The 26,553-nt window shown below is 40.8% G+C and overlaps 1 protein-coding gene across 11 annotated transcripts in view, besides 5 other annotated features; it reads right to left on the bottom strand.

The window, feature by feature from the left end:
- Positions 1–26,553, bottom strand: part of SIPA1L2 (signal induced proliferation associated 1 like 2) — a 232,532-nt gene that overhangs the window by 147,273 nt on the left and 58,706 nt on the right. The gene's annotated exons all lie outside the window — the stretch shown is intronic.
- Positions 3,317–3,940: an enhancer, noted in NCBI's record as "H3K27ac-H3K4me1 hESC enhancer chr1:232684300-232684923 (GRCh37/hg19 assembly coordinates)". NCBI's record gives its function as "activates a minimal SCP1, AML or CMV promoter by ChIP-STARR-seq in naive H9 embryonic stem cells {active_cell/tissue: H9 hESC(naive)}" and the evidence as "EXISTENCE:reporter gene assay evidence [ECO:0000049][PMID:30033119]".
- Positions 5,900–6,428: an enhancer, noted in NCBI's record as "H3K27ac-H3K4me1 hESC enhancer chr1:232686883-232687411 (GRCh37/hg19 assembly coordinates)". NCBI's record gives its function as "activates a minimal SCP1, AML or CMV promoter by ChIP-STARR-seq in naive H9 embryonic stem cells {active_cell/tissue: H9 hESC(naive)}" and the evidence as "EXISTENCE:reporter gene assay evidence [ECO:0000049][PMID:30033119]".
- Positions 6,429–6,956: an enhancer, noted in NCBI's record as "H3K27ac-H3K4me1 hESC enhancer chr1:232687412-232687939 (GRCh37/hg19 assembly coordinates)". NCBI's record gives its function as "activates a minimal SCP1, AML or CMV promoter by ChIP-STARR-seq in naive H9 embryonic stem cells {active_cell/tissue: H9 hESC(naive)}" and the evidence as "EXISTENCE:reporter gene assay evidence [ECO:0000049][PMID:30033119]".
- Positions 10,046–10,340: a silencer, noted in NCBI's record as "tiled region #1023; HepG2 Repressive non-DNase unmatched - State 24:Quies, and K562 Repressive non-DNase unmatched - State 24:Quies". NCBI's record gives its function as "represses a minimal TATA promoter and a strong SV40 promoter by Sharpr-MPRA in HepG2 and K562 cells {active_cell/tissue: HepG2 | K562}" and the evidence as "EXISTENCE:reporter gene assay evidence [ECO:0000049][PMID:27701403]".
- Positions 10,646–11,217: an enhancer, noted in NCBI's record as "NANOG-H3K27ac hESC enhancer chr1:232691629-232692200 (GRCh37/hg19 assembly coordinates)". NCBI's record gives its function as "activates a minimal SCP1, AML or CMV promoter by ChIP-STARR-seq in naive H9 embryonic stem cells {active_cell/tissue: H9 hESC(naive)}" and the evidence as "EXISTENCE:reporter gene assay evidence [ECO:0000049][PMID:30033119]".

The following is a 26,553-nucleotide window of genomic DNA, read 5'->3' on the forward strand; positions in this document are numbered from 1 at the left end:
GCACAGCCTTCACATGGACTTAAACCTGGCCACAAACAAGCTACACTTACTGACTATATGATTTCTAACTTTCTATTATACACATTACTTGTTTTTCATATCTGGCTTAAAACTTTGAATTCAAGCACTTGACTCATGTATCTATGAGGCTCCGTGTGGGCGCCTAAGTGCTCTAGAAGAACCATGGTTGGCTTGGTTTGTTTTTAATTATGAAAGTAATCTACTTACATTACAAAACTATAGGACTGAAGAATAAATATGTAATCACACGTAATACTACCACCCTTACAGAAGCTACAAGTTTTGTCTATTTCTTCTAACCTCTTGTTCTTGGGCTGTTTTTCCTACTAACAAGCTGAAAAATTCATAGCTTTTTACTCTGATAAACATAATTGTTTTTTAAAAATTCAAACAGTCTAGAGAAGGAAAACACTTTTCTCAACCATTATTAACCGTTTGATATACACAGCCTTCTAGTTTTCTAATTCGCATATAATTCTCTTAATGTTTGTAATTTAGCAGTAATAGAATTACATAATAGTATATATGCGATAATGTTCTATAATATTTTTCAATTAATGTATTAATAACTTTCCCTGTCAACAAATAAAAATCTATATTACTTCTTTAAATAAGTTATAGCTTCCTTTAAGAGTTAAACATATAGATGCAGATCTTATGCAGAATTGCTAAACAGAATGTAAATTATGTACAGACCAAGAAGTTTCTTTCTTCCCTTCTCTTTCTGGTGTCACTGACGTAGGCACAATCAGCAACCATGTTGTCATTACATTGTGTTAGGAATGTGCAGATCACAGAAAAGCATCATTTTAATCTTCTAGTACACCTGGAGTCCTGTCTAAATCTTCAGGCTAAAGAAAGCTAGAGTGATTTGGATAGATAAATTGTAATAGACTGAAGACAAGAAAAGTGCACTCTGCATTTCCTAGGCAGCCAGCCAGTTACACAGCATAACCGTACTTTTGCACGTAAAGACGTCCCTTCACCTTCTTCTCTTCTCTAGATAAAGGATTTTTCTACTAGCCTCCATAAGAGAGAGGAAAGAAAACCCTAAAAGGCCACCATGACGCCAAGACTTCACCTTTATTGACTTACCATTTTTCATCTACTTTCACAGAAGGGATTTATGGCCCACTCCTCTTTAGTAAGAGTCAATACACTTTACGAACCTCCCATTCTGTCTAGTAAAAGATTTAACAGGAAGACTGCCCAGCCGGGCAACCAATGGCACTAAATGATGGCATACAGGGTATCAGACAACATGGCACTTGACTCTGAGGAGATGCTTAGGGTGATCACAGACACGCTCTAACCTACTCTGCGTGGCAAACTGAACACAGTCCCAACAAAAACACACAAAGTAGTGCACTAATGAACACAGTTCATTCCGTCCATCGACTAAATGTCTAGGCTGTTTCAGGAACTGTGTAGGACAGTCGGCATTCTGGAATACAACAGCTCAGTTCCTAAAAACAAGTCTGGTAAAGGGAAGAGACATGCATTAAGACATGTTGACAGCGATATAGTGAAAGAGATAACCGCACAGCACTATGAAGGCATCAAGAAGAAAACAGCCACCTGTCAGGATGGGGCTGATCAGGACGGTTTCTCAGAAGAAACGAATACTCAGATCCTCAAATGAGGAGGAGGTCTGCCAGGTGGAGAGAAGAGGCAAAGGCATTCCAGGTAGAAGGAGCGGCTGGCAAAATTAAAGCATGACAGAGCACTGGGAAATTGTAGAATGTAAATTAGTACCTGCCTGACTATGCAAAAGAAATCTCTGAAAGGATACACAAGAAACTAGTAATACAAATGAACTGCTAATACTAGTAATACCATAAGGAAGTGGATGGTGGGCAGAGGGTGGGAGAAAACTTTTCACTGGCTATGCTTTAGACAGTATGAATATATCTCTCCAAATAAATAGAATTATAAATAAATAATACATAAAACTAACTCTTGCCCCCTACCCCATGACAAAACAAATCCAGCATTTTTTATGCAGAACACACAGCTGGGATAAGTAACAGACAGGAGACTGGTATATACGGGTCTTTCCCCAAATCATGTCTGAGTGACCCTGGGATATGGGAACGCAACCCTCACAAGATGAAATCATCCTTTCCGGGTAAGGTGGTCTCGGTGTAACAATCAGGGAAGCCCTAGGGGCAGAATCACAGGTTTCATTCTATTCAAGCAAATGGAGAATCACAGGGGCAGAATCACAGGTTTCATTCTATTCAAGCGTGTTTCCAGAGCCATCGTTTTCACAGTAATCAAAATGTGCCCTAATGATCACTGTGGCCCGGGGTGGGGGCTGGGTGGGGGCTGGGGGGGGCAGGGTGGGGCAGATAAGAGTGAGAAAAAGTAAAAAGTTTGAAAATTACCAATCTAGGGAAGAACACCAGCATTGCCATCATCCAAATCCTACGTTATTCAAAGACTTTCGGAGGCCTCTACAGTGTTTAACGAAAAAATTCCTATTGATAAGTGATTAGCCAACGTTATCTCACTTCCAAAGCCCTCTCATTTCCAAATCATATCTCATTTCCAAATCCCTCAAGCTTTAAGCAGTTTTCTTCAGAATAATAAACATCTGGTAAAGATCCCTAACCTGCAGAGTGTGGCTGACTGTGAATGCAGTGACAAAGGTGCAAGAGACTGTTCTCAGTGGCAGCTTCAACATCTGTGCTGTGCAAAGGTGGCCTCCTGATACACAACAGCACACACTGTGGCCTGACACACAACTGGCTGTCCCAAAATGTGATTCACAGTCTTCTCAAATGCTAATCCCAAGAACAAGTAGAAAGCCAATTTTCTGGAGAAATAATTACATAATCCACTTTTTACAGACAGGCTCTTCTACAGAGTAATTACTTGAGTAAAAGAAAAATAAACACTAGTATGATGACTACAGTAATCATGAACATGCTGGAGGCAGAGCCCAAATCTCCAAGGGTTCTAATGGATTCTATAAAGCACAGATTCGAGAACTGTATGGCTTTCTTCTGCAGCTCCCAAGATGCAGGCTTGGTATGATAAGCAAACACAGCTGAAGAGCCACCCTGACTCCCTAGGGGATATTCTCAGACTATAAACAACCTCATTCGCCACCTCCATTTGCTTCCAACCTCTGTACATACTTGTCTCAATTCATAATTAGTGTGAAACCCAGAGTATCTTTATTGTTTGGTATCTACCTTCCCACAATACTTAGACTCATGGAAGACAAAATATTTGTTTTACAACCTCAAACAATGGTAAGTTCAATATACTTTATTCATTTACTCTTTCAATAAATATGTACTAATAAATTCAATCAATATACTTCATTCATTTACTCTTTCAATAAATATATACTAACGCCCCTACCTGAAGGCAGATAACAAGCCCAGCACTGCAGGAGTAGTGAAAAGAGGGACACGGCAAGGCCTCCCACAGTCTTGGAGGTAGTGTAAACCCCACACTCCAACAGGAACGGAGCTCCCCTGAACAGAGGGGGCCCAGATCAACTGTGAGGACAGGACAGAACACATCACAGAAGGATGGCATGGATCCAGGCAGGGGACGCAGCCTACGCAAAGACATGAAGGGAGAGCGAGCAGGATCCGTGCAAGGACAAGGGAGGAAAGCAAGTGGCAGATGAGGTACAGAAGTGGAAAGGCCAAGGCCAGCTGTGCAGGGAGGAGCAGAAGCTTCTGGAAAGCCCAAGGGGCTGGTGTATAGCCAGAGGCTTGAATAACACTGAAAAAGGGGATTCTGCAAGAAATAACCTGGGAAACAGAAGGAGGAGGAGCTTCCCCTTACTGGTCAGGATTTGCACACCAAAAGGGACATGGAGCTTTCATGCTGGGTCTGTGCCACCAGCACCCTGTCCTCCACACAACCCAAGTGAGGCCTCCCCCAACCAGAGGTGACAGGAGCAGCCAGAAAAGTCCCCACTCCACTGCCCTCACTTCCAGCCTGCCTGGACGACCTCCCAGCACCCTCCTTTTAGCTGACACAGAACCTTCCTCCTTGACCAGCCACCTTTCTTCCTCTTAGGACTCGACAGCAGATGTTCCTAGCCTTACACTATCATCCTTTTCAACCTGCCTGTCACTCTTCCCAGTGGTTTTCTCTAATTAATCCCAAAGAGGAGATCTGAAAGCCAAATCCTCAAGGTTGTAGAAAAGGTATATAGAATTAAAGCTGACCACTTTAGAGTGTAAGCAGTTGGTAGAGAAGAAGCCAGGTAGTATAAGAAAACTCTCAAGAATTGTTAACATGTAAAATGACTGAAATCAGCATGTTATCTGATGTTGATGGGAGCTCCTATTATGTGGGAAATTTCCGTTAAGTGGGACACTTTTTCCCTAATGATTGTAAATAAGTGAGGCAGGGTACCACCATTCACCTAAAACTGGGGGAGGGAGGATTGAGGAGAGGAATCTGAGGCACAAATAAGGGAGGAAAAACTAAGCTTTTTCTGAAACTGAAAAATCTGCTGATCCAACTTACATTTCAAGTTTTGACATAAAACTCACTGGTCAATATTATTTTTCTTCATCATTTTTGTTTTGTTTATGTTGCTAATTGACTATACCACCGCTGCCTTAGATTATAATAACCAGCAGGGAAAAAGAATGGTGCTCTACAATCATTCTGAAGCCTGGTCACCCACGGGCAGAGACTCTTAATACATACAGTGTGATGGTGATAACTGTGACAGTGAATTTCTTTTTCATTTCTGTGCAGAAATAGAGAATAGCTGATCAAATGCCTGAAGAGGGATTACACACTTAACTATCTATAAGACAGAACTCAGAATTTTTCTAAACTGTAACTACCCACATCCATTTCAGATTTTTGTTGTGGTTGCTGCATGAAATACTTATTAACAATGCTACTTCATTAGTTTACCAAATGGCATCTTGCTATATTCAAAGGAGAGTGTTCATTACTCAAAAGACCATCTGTCTAAAAGCTCAACAGAAGGTTTAAGTAATCAAGATCTAGGGCAGGATGTATGGCTGCATTATATCAAGTCAAATATTTGCATTTCTCAGTATTTTAAATATGAACGTTCTTATCCAGCCACCCACCGCAAGTCAGACTTAATTACTATCTATTTTCAAACCAATACAGAAATTTCAATACAAGGATAGCTTAAACATAAGCAAACAGGATTGCCAACCACAAGAGTCTGTGCAGCCACCTTCATTTATATAAGAAATAATCCTGACAGCAGCAATATTTTCAACCAGAAAAGCAGTTAAACACCATTACACAAATCAGAAGAACATTTGGAAAAACAGCTGATTCTGCCTTTTGGAGCATTAATAATTGTGGCTGTTTTTGCTACTATGATCAAAATTAGCAGCAGCAGCAGTAGCAGCAACGTTTAATCTCACTTAAAGGTATCCAACACTACTGTCTTCTTAATGCAGACAACAGAACCAAGGCTGGCAACTCTTCTCCCCTCGGGAGGTGATGCATTTCATTGAGAAAACGTGAGAGGTGCGTGGGCTAAAACAGACAGAGACACTAAAGTCCTCTTTCCAAACTGTTATTTAAAATAGTCATGACTATTAAAATATTCAAGAATATTTTAAATGGAAAAAAGGGGGAAGAGCAACATGGAAGAGGTATTGCTAAGTCAACTCACTAGGTTCTGGCTTAAAGCAGAGTGCCATTGAGGACAATGAAACAGAAACAGTGGACTGGGAGTGAGGAGACAGGTAAAGACCAACCAGGAGGGAAAACAGCAAAGACTGGAAAAAAATCAAGCCCGAATGGGAATCCTCCTACCACCACCTATTAACTCCTAGGTGGCCCCAGACAAACTACCGTGCGTTTCTATGTCTGTTTTCTCATCTGTAAAGAGTTAATGAAGCAAACAGTAGGGCTGGTGGGAAGATTAGATGAGATAGCAGAATGCATGTGTTTGGGACCTAATAGGCACTCCAAAACCAAAAAACAAAAACCACAAAACACTGGTGTAGTCCCTTCTGTCATGTCCCCCTAAAATCAGTTGTTTTTATTATATGACCCAGAACCAGCTCTTTCTCCATCTGTAAGAGAAAAGGGGTAGACCTGAAATACTACCTAAGAGAGGAGCCCTCACAACTTCAACATCCAGTATCTAAGGAACATTGGCTGCCAGCAGATTTACTGCTCCATGCTCACTGGGGAGGCCTAATAACAAACTAGTTTAACAACAAGCTAACTGAGGATGAGCCACGAGAATTTGAAAAATTTTTAAAAAATGAAGGACAATATGTCAAACTGACAAAGCAGTAGTACTCCCAAGAAGAGCGGTGGGAATTTCCAGGAAGGAGAGAGGCCCCAGTGGGGGAGGTGAGAAGAAGGCCTGGAAAGACCCTCCAGCCTCCGCAGACAGAGCGCTCCAGGCTGCCCACAGCCCCAGAGAGCAGGAGGGCGGAAGGGTTGCGCTGGAGCAAATGATTCAGATTCCTGTGAACTGTAAAAGCCTTTTAAAAAGCTACAGCCGGAGTGATAGTTTAGCTGATGAGTTGAGCCTTAAAAGCCAGGCCAAGGAATTTTAACTTTTCCATGAGAACAATAAGGTTATTTTTTATTTATTTATTTTCCCCATGAGAAGAAGTCTCGCTCTTGTACCCCAGGCTGGAGTGCAATGGTGCGATCTCGGCTCACTGCAACCTCTGCCTCCTGGGTTTAAGCGATTCTCCTGCCTCAGCCTCCTAAGTAGCTGAGATTACAGGCGCCCGCCCCCACGCCTGGCTAATTTTTGTATTTTTAGTAGAGACAGGGTTTCACCATGTTGGCCAGGCTGGTCTCGAATTCCTGACCTCAGGCGATCCACCCACCTCGGCCTCCCAAAGTGCTGGGATTACAGGCGTGAGCCACCACACCCGGCTGAGAATAGTAAGTTTTTAAGCCAGAGAGGGTTAGATTTATATCAAATATTTAGTGTCCAGTGCCTCACAAAGAGCAACCGGTGATTAAATATCACCTTTTATTAATACTGATAACAATATGCTTATATACTGCCTTTACCTGGCATTACAGAATTTTCTTAATTCTTAGGTAAAAGGTTGAAATCAGGAGATTGGTAGCTCTCACTGACTTATGGAACTGGTAACTTGCCTGACACAGACTAAGTAATTAGTAAATATTCGTTTTCTGCTTGTTTCTTTTTCAGAGAAAGGGTTGGCTGGAGCACAGTGGTGCAATCATAGCTGAGGCTCAAGGGATCCTTCTGCCTCAGCCTCCCAAGCAGCTAGGACTACAGGCATATGCCATCACATCGGGTTAATTTTGTATTTTTTGTAGAGCTGGGGTCTTGCTCTGTTGCCCAGGTTGGTCTTGAACTCCTGGGCTCAAGTGATCCTTCCACCTCAGCCTTCCAAAATGTTGGGATTATGGGCATGAACCACCACACACAGCCAATAAGTATCTGTTGAATCAAAGAATGCTTAAGTGAATGGATTATATCTAGCAAATATAGTATAAGAGAAAGAAATAACATTCATGAAATAAAAAAGCAGATTCCTGTATTTTAACACCATAAAATGGCCACTACAATTGAAACAGAAGACTTCCCTGACCCCCTTCACTGAATGTACAACGGGGGGTGGCACCCCTTATGGAGGGGGAGCATGCACACAGGCAGGTGCAGGAACCAGGGGGAGATCTTTTGGGCTCCAGCCACACAGCTGCATCTAGGGGTGGGTGCCTGCGACTCCCAAAGCCCCAGTGGGCATGCTTTTAGCTCTGCCATCTGCAGACGGCCTAAGTGTTAACCAGCTCAGTGCCCTCTTGGTACTCGGGTTCTTGTCTGGAGTCCAGGAAGCATCAGGTCACACACAGACTTGAAGGATGGTGAATTCAGGGGTTTTACCGAGTGGTGGAGGTGGCTCTCAGCAGGATGGATGAGGAGCTGGAGAGGAGGTAGAGTGGGAGGATCATCTTCCCCTGGAGTTTGGCCATCCAGTGGCTGATCTCCTCCCCAACTGTCCCTAGTCGAACTTCTCTGGATATTCAGATGCTCCTCCTCGTCTCTCCTTCTCTGCTGCACTGTTCTGCTGCCCTTCTCTCTTCTGTTCATCTGCCCGTCTGCTCATGGAGCCTGGGGTTTGGGGTTTATATGGGTACAGGACGGGGGGGCGTAGTGGGCCAAAAGACAACATTTGGGCATGAAAACGGGAATGCCTGTTCCCACTTAGGGCCGTGGATTTCCAGGCTTGGGGGTGGGGCCTTTGTTGGAGAACTGCCCTCTTCTACCCAGTATTTCCCTGTTTCCTGTCTCTTGTCCATATCACTATGTGACACGTTGTCTCTGGCCTCAGCTACACGTGGAAAGTGGCCAGGCTGCCAGGAGGCAAGGAGCCAGCACAGGATTTAGATAGAGGAGTTAGCTGCTCGACTGTCTCCTATATTTATACTCTTACCCCTGAGCGTCCATTTAATGTTTTCTTCTCCTTATAAAATACATGTCTAAATCCTCTTCTACCATAAAACTCATTTTAAAAATTGGTCTTTTCTGTAATTTGTGAATATTTATCTCCATTATCAGACAAATTCCAAGAGTACAAACACATATTTATATTCATTACAGAGGTGAGCCATCTGTAAGTGATCAACAAAAACTTTCTCATAAAGAACATAAAAGCCATCAACACAATGAAAATTCTGATAACCCATGTTCATTCTTTCATTTAAGCATTAAGAAGTTACCAAGCAGCAAGGCCCCATGGTAGGCAATGAGAAATACCTAAGGCATGAGCCCTGACTCCATCCAGGACATTTATAAACTACTGCAGGAGGCAAGATTAACATACAAATCTGTCCACAACACTGGTTTCAATCTCTAAAAAGTTATTTTTTCCACCAGAGTAACTATTAAGAATCAAAATGGATACATTTGGTTTTAAATTTCTATCTTCATCTCCTGTCTGTCTCTCTCAGAGATAAATGTTAACAAGCACTAGAATTATTTAAATGCAGTCATCAGAGCAAACCAGAAGAGAAGGACAAATGGAGAACAATCTATAGGAGAGACATAGCAGATCAGTGGCTGGACAGTCTGAAACTTCAATAACAGGACACAATACAAAGAAGAAGGGCTCCTACAGGAAAGGATATGGTGAAGTGGCTGTGCTAAAAGAAGGGATTATGAAATAAAATATTTACATTTAAAGTCCTAGTTTTAACAAACTTACTTTATCCAGCCTCTCAAATTCCAAAGCCTTCAACAGGAAAAGTCTTTCCACAATGCTACCCTAAAAATAGTTCCCTTTAGTCTTTCTCAGGATACCATGTAGATTTCCCTTCAGTTTGCTTTTGCAACAACACTGGTGTCACGAAGAATGAAACGACGACTTATTTTAACTAGAGAGCAATATTTATGTTATGCACACATATCTTGACACTGTCACACACGTGCTGATGTTTTCTTTCTAGAAATGGGATCTGCATCAGCCGTGTTTGGTGTGTGCCCTGGCCTTGCAGCTGTTGTGCTGGCAAGTTGGGTGTTGTTCCCAGGCATTCCACGGAGTTTCTTGGTTTAATTTTATCTAACAGGCTAAAAGGGGTACAATTATTTTTTATCAAAATAACAATAAGGAAATAACTTCCAACAATGAATTTCTAAGTGAAAGAATCTGCACATCATACATTTGTGTCTGTAATTAGCAAAATTAAATGTCCCTTTCTCTCCGTGAAGTATTTAGCTTGCTTCCTTACAATAACTGTCCATGGAATAAAAGCAAATAAACAAGAAATTGAGTTTACAAACTTATGGACATTAATTATTCAATTTTGGCAGATGCTTTTACTTTAAAATCAGTTACAATACAAACATGTGAAAAACTTCTAGGTTCTAAATCACATCACTAATCTCAGCAGTTCTGAGAAAACAAGTGACTCTTCTTTCGAACAAATGAAACCACCCAAACATTATTTATCTTTCAGCTGCACTACTCCCATGCCCAAAATTAAACAGAGAAAAGTTTTCAGACTCAACAATTCACCTCCACCGGTAATCTGAAGCCAGAGTGGGAGAGCAGGTATTTGTGGAGCCAAGTCTGAATGTAATTCTATTTACAATGCCATGCTTTGCCCCCCTAAAGCCAACCTGGAGCAGCATAACCCCACCCTGATCTTTATCACCTCCAGCTGGAGTGAGGAGTCAGGTTCCCCAAGGTGTACTTCTAACCAGAATTCCCCAAGACAGACTAACCAAATGCCTAATTAACAGAGAGAAGAACCTCCAGTTGCTCCACCATATATAGGCTCTCACTGAAGTATCACCAAGTCTAAGACAAAGCAGACAGCTGATAAACAATCCACTTTCTTCAGCCCCCTCTAAGGAAGCCTCAACAGCCAAATGTAATCTAATAATTAGCATATGTAAGAGTAAAGGTCCAGACCATGACATCAGCTTCACAGAAAAATCAGCAGATTCAAAAAAGATCCACGGAGCCTATGCAGTCTTTGGAAATTCTAAATAAATGAAAGGATGAAAGGACAGAACAGCAGGGGATAGAGAACTCTACATTCTAGGTCCTAGAAAGCACAATACAACATTTCTAAACAAAACTATTCTGCAAATTCTCTATTACAGAAAAAAATCTATCCATCACAAAGGTATTAGCTCACAAGGGTATTAACTGAAAAGTTGCTTCCCTAGCAACCTCCACATTGCAACAATGTCCTTGAATAGCATTTTGCAGAGACGGCAAGCCATAGTTAACCCAGAAGACTGTCAACAGTTCAAGGATCACCTAAACTTGGTGAGAGCCATGAAGAGCTAACACAGGATTCCTTAAAGATGACATTACTGCTAAAGATAACATGAGTGCACACATTCTGAAGTATCTGTAGCAAGAACTCAGGATCCACTAAGCTGTTTAAAGAAGTTTAATGTGTACACTGTGATAAAAGCTTACCTTTCTGTCTGTTACAAAACTTACAGAGGAATGAACTGAACTCAACTAAGCTTCTCTCATCAAGGGTTTTGCTGGCAGCCCCTGCCCCTCAAATTTACCCAACATCTATCTCATCTGTTGGCATGTCAGGTTTTCTGTTGTTGCTGCTGCTGCTGTTGCTTAAGTTAAAGATAACCAAATAATTATCTCAATTACATTTTTAAAAGAAAAAGTGAACCCAAAACTTCTTCTCTCCCTTTAGCGATAAGGTATGGCCATAGTGCAGTTTAACACACCAGCTGATAATTCTACAAATGTGCTCTGATGCTGCACAGACAAGGATGGAAACAAAATCCACGCAATTCAAAAGGCAGCTATCAATGGCACATAAACCCCGTTCAGATATGGAGAAACCAGACAGATAAGTGTGTCATCCGGGAAAAACAAACAGAGACAGAAACAAGATAAAACCAAAAGAAATTATGTGTCTTCGGGAGCTGTTATCAATCACACTTGAGAATCTTTGAACTTTGCTTTGTAAAACTAGGGATCTTATCCTCTCATACAAACAGTTAAAAAAAAAAAAAATGGAAGAGCTCCAAGGTAGTGAACACTGGGGTCAGACTGAAGTCTGCAAAAAGATAAGACAATTTACCCAGGAAAAGTTAAAGCACACTTCTTGGAAAGCTCATTTAATTTCCCTCTATTTTTTAGATTCAGATATCAAAATCTCAAGGATTTTGCAGTCTTTGAGATTTTCAGGATGGAGGCAATCCGTTGGACCAGGAGACACAGGCCAGCTCTGGGACAACAGTCAAGAATGGAGAGAGAAGCCATGTGGAAGAAATCCCACACCCAACAAAAGTAAATTTTTACCTGTGTCCCGTGAGCAAAAGAGGATTAACAAAAACTCATGAAGGCAGCTCAATAAAATACTGATAGGAGGTGAGAGGCTGACACTGCACAGCGCCTGTGTAATCCACAGTAGGTTATGGTGACAATGTTTGTGGATCCGGTCTCATTGCTATCACAAATTCAGCAGGCGTACAGGACAAATAGGAAGATATAACATACAGTGAACGCCTGCCAGGGGTTGGGCTCCATTTCTGGCATTCGCTTCTACCTAAGGCACCCCATAATGTGGTTATCAGTCTCTCTATTAAGATAAGCCATAACGGACTCTTGAGAGTTCAGGCGCTTTTCAATAGTGGAAGCCACATACAGCAGGGGTAGGTGTTTAACTTTGGTCAAAGGTTACAAAAAAACTCCTTGTGTGTTTCTTTCTATGCAAATCATTCACTATCTTAACCCCACAACACATCAGGCCCCACCAAACAATGACTTCAACCAGTCTTTCCATTCCCAGCCAGTGAGTTTCCTCTCTCACTCTTGTTAACCCAAACTCCAGGTACTTTGAAAATTCCAATATTCCAAAGAATATTTCCTCTGCAGCTACTGTGACTTCCATGTGTTCTCACTGTCTCTGGCAAGCCACAGCTCTTGCCCTATTCCGTGTTCTGAGAGACACAACCCAACATTACCATTATTTATTTACATGCTTGTCTATCCCACTAGACTGAGGATGTAGAAATCAGAGAAACCTGGTCAATGTGGTATTGTCTCACCCTGCCTAACAAGATGCCTGGCACAGTGAAGACACAAAAGATTGTCAGCTAAATGAAACATTGCCGGCATGTGCTGAGAAGTGTCAACAGGCTGAACATCCTGTACCAGCATGACACTGACTGTAACATCTCCAGTCCATAGATAAATCATACATTTAAAACACTCAGACATTATTTTTATAAGGATCATTATTCCACATCACCAAAGCAGTGTCTGTATGGAGAGTAAGCCAAAACAAAAGCCTTGCTGGAAAAAGTGACAAGTCATAGCTGCATTGTTCAAACAGAACCCTACTTGGAAAGCCAGTTGCCATAGGCTTTTATCTCACACAGTGAAACCTCCCCAGACAGCTTGAAATGAGGAGAAAAGATAACCCACTGAGATTTACACTTCAAAGAGCAAGAAGCCTCGAGGTAAGATTTGACTGTATCCTAATTAATGGCAAAACATAATTAAAGAGAGTTTTGGGCAGGAACTGGGGACATGAAAAGAGGATCCTAGAGGAAATTTTGGCATCCAGAGGAGAAGGACCCTCAGCCACTAGATGGGGAGTCCTCTCCTGGGCAGTCCTTGTCTGAAGCCATAATTGTTCAACTCACTTCTCTCCCTGGTTCTGATGGTAAATGTGCCCCACCCCCGGCCACGGTTCTGATGGCAAATGTGCCGGGCAACCTGCAGACCTCTGTCTACCTTCAGGAAGGGAATATGGCACTGAGAAAAGGCTGGCATTCAGGTTCCCATGGTGAGCATATTTAGTTTTGTACATTACTAAGTAGGCATTCTTGTCACATACTCCGCTACTGAGTTTGGTTAAAGCAACCAAGTCTGAGAGATAGATCCATTCTCAGTGCACCCCCAAACAAATTTTTTTTTTAATTTTGCCAGCTAATGAGTTATCTCCCATAAAAGTCTTCTGGAAGAACTAACTGGCATTTCTCCTGGCTGATGCATGATCCTAAATCTTCGTTTTTATGCATGTTTTCTTTAAATTTCTACACCATGTGCATCAAGTTTTATGAGGGTAATCACTTTTAGTCAATAGTAGTTTTTACCAAACAGATAACAATTTATTCAGTAAGACTCACTATCCTAGTATAAAACGATCCTCTCACCTCTCAGGGTAGAAGTGTCATGGAAACAGTTTGGTTTCACCAGTACTAAATTAATACTGCTTTTGCAGGGCTGAGGCAAAAATTTAATTTGCAAAAACCAGCCCAAGGCTACCATGATATAAAATTCACTTGATGTGTTAATTTCACACTCTAGAGTCCTCATCCCACCGGTGGGTGGGTGATCTCAATTATGTAAAGTAGAAGAATGTCTGAATTTACCCCAGCAACCCCAGACATCAGCACTCTAGGCCCAGCAGGAAGCCAGAGCTCAGCTTCCTTCCTGCCAGCCCATGGGGTAGCAGGGATTATCCTAGAAGTCAGCCAGACTGAGTAAATATTTTCACTATGCAGAGCTCAATCATAGGGCAGCAGCATCCCATTTAATAAACTTTTTCTTCTACATCTTAACACAGAAGGGATGCTTCCAATATGAACAAATAGTAACATAAACTCAATCAGCTCCAGCTAGACCCGGCATGTAGAGTGCTTTAGACTCTGCAGTCACAAGCACTAAGCCTGGGAACTGCACAGGCAGGAAGAATAAACCTCCTTTTGCCCCGGTCAGTGTTCTTGAAAAGAAATATGCCAACTCCTGTAAAATAAATACATGTTCTAGCATAAAAATACTATTTATAAAGACCATGAAATAATGAAATGTGCTTTAATAAAAGCACACCAAAATGTATATGCAGTATATCAACAGAATATAATACAAACATACATACACAGACATACCATGTATTTATAGAAAAAAGATGAAGAAAATTCTCCAAAATTTTGTTTTCATCATTGGGTGTTGACAATTGAGGAGATTTTATTTCCTTCTTTCTATACAAATACTATATATGTAATATATTACTTTTAATAGGTTACCTGTATAAAACAAAGAAGCCTTGGTTCAAAATATAAGTAAATGAAGATTAGTGTGTATTACTTTAAATAAATAAATTGCTCTATTGTTAGAGTAAGCTACAATGTTTCTACTATAGACTAATTCAATGCAGATATAAACTGACTATCTGTTCATCAAGGAAATAAAAGTTCACAAAGAGTAATAATACCTACCCATCAGCAAATCCGTCTGGAAACAAATTTCCTTCCTGTCGGTTCCCCTCAATTCATTCTTGATTTTTGATCCCTGCCTAATCTGCTCTCTCTCTCACACACAGAACTGTTGGACTTTCAGGGCCCACAAAGGAACTAACTCAGAACAGAAATAGCCCTTGGCCAGTCCTTTATTGACAGTAAAGAAACGTACTTTGTGTTTTTAAAAACAGTTTTCCCTGTGAGCTGGTGGTAGCATGGCAGCCAGCAATCCCATCTTCCTGTCCATCAGACTATTGGGATAAAATGGCTTAACCACCTCCTACCCCAAACCACATCCCCAGCTACCTGCACTACACCAAAACATTAGTAAGAAATCAGTAGTCTGGTATTAGTAATTGATTTAACCAAATAATATCACCCAAAAGAAGCTGCTATGCCCTGTTGCTCATACGCTGCACTGGTATTTAATAAGGCCCTCAGGAATAAAAAATTTAATTCAGAGTCATCTTTTTGGATCATCTGCTCATGAAGCTGAGTACTTACTAAAGATTCCTTTAATAAGGCATAATTCCTTAGATATAGGAACGTTTCCCAGTGATTGTTTAATCCTCATGGGAAGGAAAATGCTGTGTACTGGTCACCTTGCCCAGCAGGGAGGCCCTCCAGCTCTCACCTGCCTCCTCTGCATGTGGGAGGCAGGCCCAGAGGCCTCAGCCTTCATGAGCCTCAATGGCCAGACCAGGACACAGCAGCCCCAAAGCCCTGGGCCATGTACTGAGAAGTTCTAACATGAACCAGAAATCAAAGCTTCTAAGTGCATATAATTTCTCACAGTGGAACAGAATCATGAGAGGTATCACTGCTGGAAAAACGCCAAGATGTAAAACTTGGATAATAAATAAATGCAAATTATCTACTAAAGATACTGGATTTTAAGAGTCTAGATTTTCATGAAGAGGAAAAAAAAGTAAATAAAAACACTACAGTATCCTGAGCTAGAACTTTAGTAGACGTAAAAGAAGCCTTTTTCAAAGCATTAAACTTTCATTCCAATATTTATTAAGAATCTACTATGTTCCAGACAGATATATTATGACTCTTACACATTTGCTCACGTGCATAAAAAGTCATTTGGTTTAGACATTCCCACCGTCTACCAGTTCCTGGGGAGGTATACTGCAATCTCCACGTCAACTGATAAAGATAATAGAAGACAAAGTCAGTCAAACAATGTGAATTCCTAGACCTTTTTGATTAATGATACAAATGGCCACGACATCATTCTCAACTATCTTCCCAACTCCTTATCATTATATATTCTGGTAAAAGATAACAAAGTTTCAGGTAAAGTTTCAGGAAGTCAGCTTTTGATTATTTTAAATGGGTTTGCACATATGTACCTGTCACTATTTGACCAGAAGACTACATTTTGGACATTCTCATGCCAGATTCTGACTGGCCCCTGATGTGTACCTGCAATTAAGATAATTATTTCCATATACAAAACTACAAACTGGATCCCATTTTCATTACCTTTTGGGTTGGAGCTGGATACACAGATCACATGTTCATCCGATGTCCTTCTCTACCACAGGGGAGCCACACACAATGCCCACCCCTAGTAACAGGAAATGAAACACTAATGAGCCAAACAGCCATCTGCCTGTGCCCAGAATGAACAGTCCAATGAGCCTGTTGGTCCTTCCTTATTCTACAGATAGAAAACAAAAGCAGAGTACATGCTCTTTTACCTTTGACTGGCAGGCTGTCCAGAGTGACTCTGGATAAGTTACTTATCATTGCCAGGCTTTGATGGGAATGGTCTTGATGAAAGAAAATTCCGCTTTCCAGCCCCAGCTTATACCTACTGAGTCAAAATGCAGGAGCAGGAGAGAGGGATACACAGGGCAGCGTGTGGAATGCACCTGGGCATGGGTACTTCGGCAAAGGCCTCAGGTGACTCTTGATATGGAGGCTTAGCGATTACTAAACCTTTTCCAGGGCCAGAGGTAAAGAGGAGGCCATAAAGCCAACCACCTGATGGGTCCCACCGCGCCAGCTGCTCTGAGAGGCCCTGAGCGAGTAAATACGGCTTCAAATATGGATAAGTTGCTGAGACCACCAACAAATCCCCAGGAGTTTTGGAGGGCAGAGGACACTGGAGAAGTACTGATGAGGAGAAATGGGGAAAATGACCCAAATGTAGTTAGGAAAACCAAAATGCTGCCCTTGGCAAGGCTGCCCAGGCTTGTCCTTACAGAGTGGCAGATATGTCAACTGCACATTTTGAATGCCAAGGAGGCACATGCGTCTGTAACAGCAGCAGAAAGGAGTTAAATACATTCAGTATTAATCATAAAGTTGTCAAAGATAACTTAAAGTCTATCCCCTCCCTAAGCACTGCTAAAGAAAAATCTTTACTTGGCTAATTGCCTGGATGAAAATTAGTTTGGGGATGATCTGCATAAAGATATGTGCTTTAAAAAGTCAAAGCTACACAGGAATTCTAACACACCGCCTATTAGAGCATTTTAATGGAAGGAGATAGAATAAAGGAAGAAAAGAATCATAAATAATACCCAATCTATTATGTGGACACATTAAAGGCATCACATTATTTTATAATGAGAATTTTTTTCCATTGCAACTGTTAATAACCTAATACTTTTTCACCATAATGTACTGATGCGTATTTCCAAGAATGGATTCGAAGCCAACAAGATCTGATTGCCATTTTAAAAACAAATGTAAAGTAATAAATGTTTACTACTGACTCTGTTTAGTCCACTTGATAATCAGATCTGAACAAGGGGATCCCCTCAGCAAATAAAACGCATCATCAGACAGAGGACAGAGACCTACAAACAAAAAAATGCTTCACGTGTTCACTTTTTTCCCCTTAGCACCACTAACTGTGCACATTCTAGCACATTTTAAAAAGGAGAAAAAATAAAAATTAGCCACCTAACAAACACCTGCAAGCTGTGTCGAGAGAACCCAGGCATGGAAGGAGAGCTGTGTAGACATCTGGCATCACCTGTTAGACTGCCAAACCACTGTATTTTTAAGCTATTCAGATGCTTTCTGAAAAGAAACAATAAAAATCCTACATGCCTGAACTGTGAGGTGGGGGAGCCTCCTTGTAGCTCAGCCCTTGTCAGACAGACTACAGCAGCCTCAGAAGGTTCAATAGCCTCTTTATAAACCTATTGTGTGGTGTAGTGCCTAAAAATAGTATGGTTTGGCAGGCAGATCATACCAAGGAATAATCCTACATACTCAACTCCTAAACAACAGACACAGGAATAGAAAAGAAAACTAAATTGTATTTTCAGTCTGCACCTAAGCTCTTGTGGTCACCTCTTCACCTGGATTCCTCCAGCTTCCTCATTTTGTCTGAACACACAGCAAACCTAAATTTTAGCCCTTACAGCCTACACAAGAATATGAGAGGAATGCGGGGGGACCTAGGCAGGCAAACAGAGGTGGGGTGCATGACTGAGCCACACATTTCTATAGTATACACTGCCACGCTTAAGAGAACTTATACCCTCCCACTGAAATAGACAAGAAGGTCTGTTGTGATGATTACATTATAATAATTATTGAATATGGCTTTCAAGTTTCCCTTACACTGAAGTTCTCAACCCTTCCTTCATAGCTTTTAAGAATTACCTGGGGAAGTTTAGGAAAATACAGATGTTGGAAATTCAGTTTTAACTCAGTTTTAAGTTTCTGAGGTGCACAGCTAGGGCTTAGACCGCTGCTTAAAACAACAAAGCTTTTTGTTTTGTTTTATGACGGAGTCTCGCTCTGTTGCCCAGGCTGGAGTGCAGTGGCATGATCTCCGCTTCCTGCAGCCTCTGCCTCCCGGGTTCAAGCGATTCTCCTGCCTCAGCCTCCTGAGTCACTGGGATTACAGGTGCCCGCCACCATGCCCAGCTAATTTTTGTATTTTTAGTAGAGACAAGGTTTCATCATGTTGGCCAGACTGAACGACAAAGGTTTGTTTTTTTTTTTCGTGTGTGTGTGTGTGTGTGTGTGTGTGTGTGTGTGTGTGTGATGGAGTTTTGCTCTTGTTGCCCAGGCTGGAGTGCAATGGTGTGATCTTGGCTCGCTGCAACTTCTTACAGGCATCAGCCACTGCTCCTGGCCAAGGAAGGTTTCATCATGTTGGCCAGACTGAACGACGAAGGTTGTTTTTTTTTTTTTTCGTGTGTGTGTGTGTGTGTGTGTGTGTGTGTGTGTGTGTGTTTCATCATGTTGGCCAGACTGAACGACAAAGGTTTTTTTTTTTTTCGTGTGTGTGTGTGTGTGTGTGTGTGTGTGTGTGTGTGTGTGTGTGTATGATGGAGTTTTGCTCTTGTTGCCCAGGCTGGAGTGCAATGGTGCGATCTTGGCTCGCTGCAACTTCTTACAGGCATCAGCCACTGCTCCTGGCCAAGAAAGGTTTTTTAGACCCCATCAGGTCGACTGCTCAGGCCACAGAGGCAGAAAACAAAAACCAGGAGGGAGGGGGTCACTATCAAGCATGAAGCCTGCCTGCAAGGGATGGGCCACCAAGAGGCCAGGAGTGCCACCCTTCTAGAGAGCACTCCTGGACAGAATGAAAATCAGGCCACAATAGGCAGCTACAAGAAACCATCAGATGAGATCATAAGAAAGTACAAAGTTAAAAGCTACATGTTAACACTCCTCAAACCCCAATTTTAATTTAGCGTTTACTTTTCCTTTTTTCAATATATTTATCTGAAAAGAGATTCTTACTCTGGGTTTTTATTGTGGGGACAGGATGGCAGAAGTATTACTCTTCTCCCAGAAGTATTAATAAATTAATACATATTAATATAGATGGGAGAAGTAATAAATAATAAGTGTACACATGTTCTCTCTCATAAGTGGGACCTGAACAACGAGAACACATGGACATAGGGAGGGGAATGACACACACTGAGGCCTGTCTCAGGGTGGGGGATGAGAGGAGGGAGAGCATCAGGACAAATAGCTAATGCATGCGGGGCTTAAAACCTAGATGACGGGTTGATAGGTGTAGCAAACCACCATGGCACATGTATACCTATGTAATAAACCGGCACGTTCTGTGCTTGTATCCCAGAATTTAAAGTAAATAAATTGATAATGAGTAAGTACACTAAATGAAAGATAGAAATAGTAAGTGTCTAACAGTTGATTTTTCAAATAAAAGAAAATAGCTAGATCAACAAGCATCGTCTGGATGAATCTGGATAAAAACCTTAGATAGGTGAAGTAACTTGCCCAATGTCATATCAAGTTAATAATCTGACACCTTGGATGGCAAACCAGGTTGTTGTCTAACTCTCCGATTAAGGTTCTTCCAGGTTTTTTCACTAAATCAAACTGTTTTCACCAAGCCCAACTGCCAGAATGCTTTTCTGCAAATACATGGGTGTCAACACAGGCTCATGGCTAAGAGCCTGACACTAGAATCTCCTTCAGGCCAAAGTGCCTGCTCAACTATTGACTGTGAGACCTGGACAAGTCCCTTAGGCATCTTTGTGCCTCTGTGTGCTGCATCCACAGAGCAAGAAAGACAGCAAGAGGAGCTGCTTTATACAAATTAATAAAAGAAAGAACACCTGCAAAATGCTGACAGCAAGACTTAGAACAGGAAGTACTCAATAAATGCTAGCTATTATTATTACCAAGAATTAAATCTGAACTTAGAATGTGTTACCATTTGTTAGTAGGAAAATCAATACAGAAAATTATCACCTTTTACTGCACATACAGATTCTCTATTCCTTTCTCTCTCTAAACAAACAAACTTTTAAACTGGGTGACTGCAGGGCCTTTATTTCTATTGTGTGTGCCTTAAGGTATGAAGGGGACACAATGATCCAATATCCTGTGACTTCCTAGACCACAGAAGTATGAGGCAGAAGGAATGTTTGAGTTTGAAAGGACTCTCAAGATGGGATGGTTCCTATAGTATACACTGTCAGGGTTAAGAGAACTTTTACCCTCCCACTGAAATAGACATGAAGGTGATGATTACATTATAATAATTATTGACTATGGCTCTTTCAAGTTGCCCTTACACTGAAGTTCTCAACCCTTCTTAGCTTTTAAGAATCACCTGGGGCAGTTTAGGAAAATATAGATGTTGGAAATTCAGTTTTTAATTCAGTTTTAAATTTCTGAGGTGCACAGCTAGGGCTTAGACCACTGCTTAAAATAACAAAGATTTTTCTGTTTGTTTTGTTTTCTTTTGTTTTGAAATGGAGTCTCAGCCTCTCAGCCTCTATCAGACACATTGCTCATTACCTCAGAAAGTGCTTTCATTGAGGAAAAAGTTATCTCATTAAAGAATCAAAACCTTAACACTATCCATTGTTCCTCACTGAATTGTTCCTTTATAAAGCTTTCCACTGATATTTCCTCCAAAGAGAAATGTTTAATAAAAGCAAACAAACAAAGGAAAGAAAATAAACCATGCATACTGAGACTTAACTTATAAAATCACAATGTGGTACGTGGAAAAGCCCTGCTGGATTTCAGATTCATGAACTAAGAGTGGTATTCGTCGCTTTTCACTAACGGAATATACAAAACTGTCTTTATAACATGGTACTATAAATGCTTTCCAAATAACACTGTAGAAGGCTTGTACAAAGCATGACATTGCATTTTAAACATTTGTAGGGATAATCCTTAATAGACGGACTTTCACATTTCACACTTCTTTCAGATATCTCAACCATTTAATCTCCACTTAAGTTGAAGATTCGGCAAAACAGAAAAGAATCCAACGTTCACAATACTCAGGGTTCAGTGTGTTTTTAGAAGTCTGATTATTTCAAGCAGGGCTTTAGGTTACCAATGGGTCAATTCATTTGAGTGTGAGAATATGCAGTAATTGTTTCCTATTACTCTAGTACACATTCTTGAAGTCTTATGAGGATTCAATTTGGTTTTGCACAATATCAATATGCTTATCTTTCTGCATGAACAATATATGAACATATAGAAGATAATATAATTGTACAGATGCTTCTTTTTGGTTTTTCTCCTAACTGCCTACAGAAGCAAAATAAGACCACATTCTGAAATTATCTATAAAATACGACTAATGGATGACTTGGCCGTCTCCTTAAGTCACTACCCTTGGGGCACTGCCACAGAGATCTGGTAGTTTGCTCCATTACAAATTAGCTATATGACCCTTAGGCAAATCACAAAGCCTCCCTGGGCCTTATTTTTTAAATGGAGATACCTACTTCAAAGCACTACTGAAAGGTTAAATGAAAAAGGTAAAATACTAAAATATTATCTGCCACATAGTGAACAGTAAGCAAATAAAGCTGCAATAATAATTATTCAACAGAAGAGGAAATGGCCTGAAAATACACTGCAAATGAGAGACTGCATCTGTCACCTTCAGTCATAAAGTGTGTCTTGTGTGATCAAGTTGATCAGCATTATATTTTGGGAAACCTTACTCATAATATAATCAAGATATATAATAAATTATTGTCATTTATTCAACTAGCTATAACCTAATGGTAAGAACAGAAATTGGAAAAATGGAAGGAAAATAAATAAATTTCTAATTAACAAGTAAAGCATATCCTCCCTTGCCAATAAAAAAAAATTTCCAAGTTATAAAGGAGTTTGTTTTGAGCCTGATTAGCATGAACTAGTCCATGAGAAACCAGCGTATTGGACTGTGATAGTGTAAAATATATATTTGAACTTCAACCCCATTTCCTGGTATACAACTCCTAAAATACTTAAAATTTCCAGTGACATCTTTTTGTATGCTAATGAGTTAATTGATGGATGGCAGCCCTGAGGTAGCTTTAGGATGGGGCTGGTCAACTGAAAGACCAAGGCCTAATCGGAGGGTTGGGACTTTCTGCCCCATCCCACAGCCTCCAGGGAGGAGAGAGGGGCTGAAGGTTAATTTGATCACCAATGGCCAATGGTTTAATCAATAATGCCTATGTAATGAAGCTTCTCTAACAGTCCGAAACGCCAGGGTTCCAGAAGCTTCCAGACAGCTGAACACATGAAGGTTCCTGGAAGGTGGTATGACTGTAAAGTACATGGATGCTCTGTGTCCCTCTCCCTAACCTCAACCTATGCATTTCATCTGTAGAAGAGACATGTAACATCCTTTGTAATAAACCAGTATATCTAAGAGCTTCCCTGAGTTCAGTGGGCCACTCTAGCAAATTAATCATATCCAACGAGGGCGTTGTGGAAACCCCAATCTAGTCAATCAGAAGCACAGGGAAATCCACCTGGAGCTTGAGACTGGCACATGAAGCAGCAGAGAAAGGAAGGAGAGTCCTGGGACTGGGCCCTCAACCTGTGGGATCTGACACTATCTCCAGGTAAACAGTATCAGAACTGAGTTGAATTAGAAGACAGCCAGCTAGTGTTTGCTGCAGGATTAATTGCTTGCTTGGTGTGGGGGCAAACTGCCAAACATGTGGTCATGGAAGTCTTCTTTGTTGACTGTTGTGGTATGACAGCAGCAGAGGAAAAAACACTGCTTTTTCACTCTCATAGACCTATTGAATTAAGGACCAAATCTTACTTTGTGCAATGGGTTCAGGTGCTGCAGAAAAAAAGAGTGTTCCAAGCCTTGGGAAGAGGAGGCTAAGGAACAGACAGGGCTATCCTGGGTACAAGAGGACATGGAGTGGACCATGGGCTGGATTTCTGCTCAGCTTGCCTCAGGCCCTTGATGACCTCATCAAATCCTCAAACCCTATGAAGCCATATGCAAATCTAACACATTATCTCTTTCTATACATCTTTTTCACTCTGAATAAAGTACACCAAAATGCACATGTCTACATGTGTTCACTTATCCACCCAAACGTGTGTATTGAGTGCCTACAACATGCCAGGCGCCCTGGAGGACACACAGATCCACAGTCATCTCAGCTCACTAGTATTCTCCCAGTATTTTATCATTACAGCAACTGAACCTTTTATCGGAGCTATTTACGTATATTTGCTTTTTCCCCTTTAGATTACAAACTCTTGACGGGGAAGGGCTGCCTTTTCATCATCTTGTTTCCTCCAGCAACTAACAGAGTACTGCACTTACAGAAATTATTCGGTAAATATTTACTGTATGAAATCACTCTTGAGAGCCCACAGTCTCCTTCCCCTGAGGTCTTCAGATTTTAAGACCATCTGCCTGAGGTGGCTACAGCTTTCTAAATTTGGCTGATAGTGTAATATGAAATAAAATGTTTCAAAACATAATCTGGAAAGTGTTTGTGTTTACCCACCCTGACATTCAGATATAAGCAGCAAAAAAATTGGAATTTAGGAAGAGATATGAAATCATCTAAACATGTTATATATAGGCAACTGCATGTCCCAGTGGTCAAACACCCGAGTGAAGGATCAAGCACCAGGACCCCTGACTTGTTCTTGACAACCCAATCCTGGCAAGAGATGGCGCACATCTGCTGTAAGCAGGCAAAGGATGCTGTCGTTCCTCCTGTAGAGATCTAGTAACTAGAATGTTTGTTCAGAAACTTGGGCGGGACAATGAGAAACTCAGTCTGAGAACATTTTAAAAATCGATGAAGGCCAGGCATGGTGGCTCACACCTGTAATCCCAGCACTTTGGGAGGCTGAGGCAGGCGAATCACCCGAGGTGAGGAGTTCGAGACCAGCCTGGCCAACACAGTGGAACCCTATCTCTACTAAAAATACAAAAATTAGCTGGGCGTGGTGGCGCATGCCTGTAGTCCCAGCTACTTGGGAGGTTGAGGCAGGAGAACCGCTTGAACCCAGGAGGCGGAGGCTGCAGCGAGCCAAGATGGCACCGCTGCACTCTAGCCTGGGCAACAGAGCAAGACTCCATCTCTAAATAAATAAATAAACAAAGATAAATTACGGATCCTCTAAAGATCCATTCAAGTCTAGAATTCTACTGGCCTTACGAAACTGACCATAAAATAAAAAAGTGCAGGATCAAAAGCAAGCCTAGCACCATCCCTCCAATACTTATTTTGATTCCCAAAGGGTGAAAGGCGGAAGGTAAAGCTGAAAGCAGAGAGAAGGAACAAAATATTCCAGGCATCAAAACAGCACCTTTCTGATAAGAAAACACCTAAGGAGTTAAAAATTCTTACTAGAAGTCTGAAAGCTGAAACACAGACCGCTGTAACACTACAGTGCCAGCTATCTCGGAAAATTCTATTCATCTTTGTAAGGACAAGAATTTGGAGCTCAGCCCAAACTTGTCTCAGTCACTTCTCATGATAATAATTTGATTTCTCCCACAGAACAAGTCTCCCTAATCCTCTGATAAACAAGTTTCTAAGCCTTTAAGATGGTTAAGTGAACAAATCCTAACTTCGCCAATGGGAAAATGAGGGCATCAAATGGTAAAATCATCTACAAAGAAGTATGCAACAAGTCAGTAATTAAATAAGTATGCCGTCTCCTCGGTTCTGACGCTATCACAAAATCTGTAGATTTTAAACAAGGTGCTCTTTACATATAAGTTAACTGGAGAATAAAGGTCACTGCAAAAGAAAAACTAAAAGAACCAAAGCAATTGAACTTCATTCATACTTTTTATCAACAGATATGTTGTACAGATTTGTGATGTCCCCTTTCATTAGGGTCCAATTGTAACCCATGTTAAAACAGCATTTGAAATGGATTTTCAACTGAGAAAAAAGACTACCTGGGACACAGTAGCTTATTCAAGGAAGCACACCTTTACTTTCCTCTGTGCTCTTAAAGACATCATATGGATCCAAATCAAAAGCAACTCAAACAGTAAAAATATAAATAAAACTTAATTTTAAAACAAGAGAGAATACCTGGAGTTGGACTAACAGACTGGAAAAAATTTAGATCTGCAACTCATACCACATGCAAAAATAAAGAAAAAAAGCATCATATGCAAATTTAAAACTAAAATATGGAAAGTAATTTTTATAATTGTGGAGTGTTTTCTCTTAGCATGAGAATCAGGCCAGAAACTATAAAAAAAAAAAAAAAAAAGGAGCTAAACTTAGGGAGAGACTGAGAGACTGACATACTTGATAAAAGAGAACTCAAAACTACTCTATTGCAAAAGGTATCTCCAGAAAGCTCAAGGGCAAACTAAGAATTGGAAAAAATACTTGTTTGTTACATGTGACAAAAGACTAATATCCAGAATAGAGATTTAAAATATCAGTACATGTAAAACTCCAAAAGATAAATGAGCAAAACAAATACAAGTGGTCAATAAGCATGTAAACCTAACCTCAGTATTAATTTTTTAGAACATAAACACTAAAACGATAAAACACTTTTTTTAACATTAAAACCAGACAATGAGAAGATGTCTACAATATATTGGTAAGTGAAAATAAAGGCAATGTACAACATATCTGTGGTCAAAAATAGTACATATTGAATAATTCAATTTTTTTAAGTGTGCATGTGGGTTTCTGAAAAGTCTGTTGACAGTGATTGCCTTTGGGGAATGAGACTGCAGGAGAGATTTATGCTCCATTTTATACATTTCTGTGTTACCTGAAATTAATATACTTACAAATTTAAAAACTGAAGAACTTTTGGTAAAATGAAGTTTGCCTAAAATCGTGCACACACATGATATGGCTTGGGTATTTGCTCCCTCCAAATCTCATGTTGAAATGTGATCCCAGGGTTGGAGGTGGGGCCTAGTGAGAGATGACTGAATCATGGAGGTGGATCCCTCATGAATGGCTTAGCACCGTCCCCTTGGGGTTAAGTGAGTTCTCCTTCAGTTAGTTCACATGAAATATGGTTGTTTAAGAGAGTCTGGGACCTCCCCCTTCTGTCTGATTCTTCCACTCTCA

Source organism: Homo sapiens, chromosome 1 (assembly GCF_000001405.40).
Source record: "Homo sapiens chromosome 1, GRCh38.p14 Primary Assembly".
NCBI classification, from domain to species: domain Eukaryota; kingdom Metazoa; phylum Chordata; class Mammalia; order Primates; family Hominidae; genus Homo; species Homo sapiens.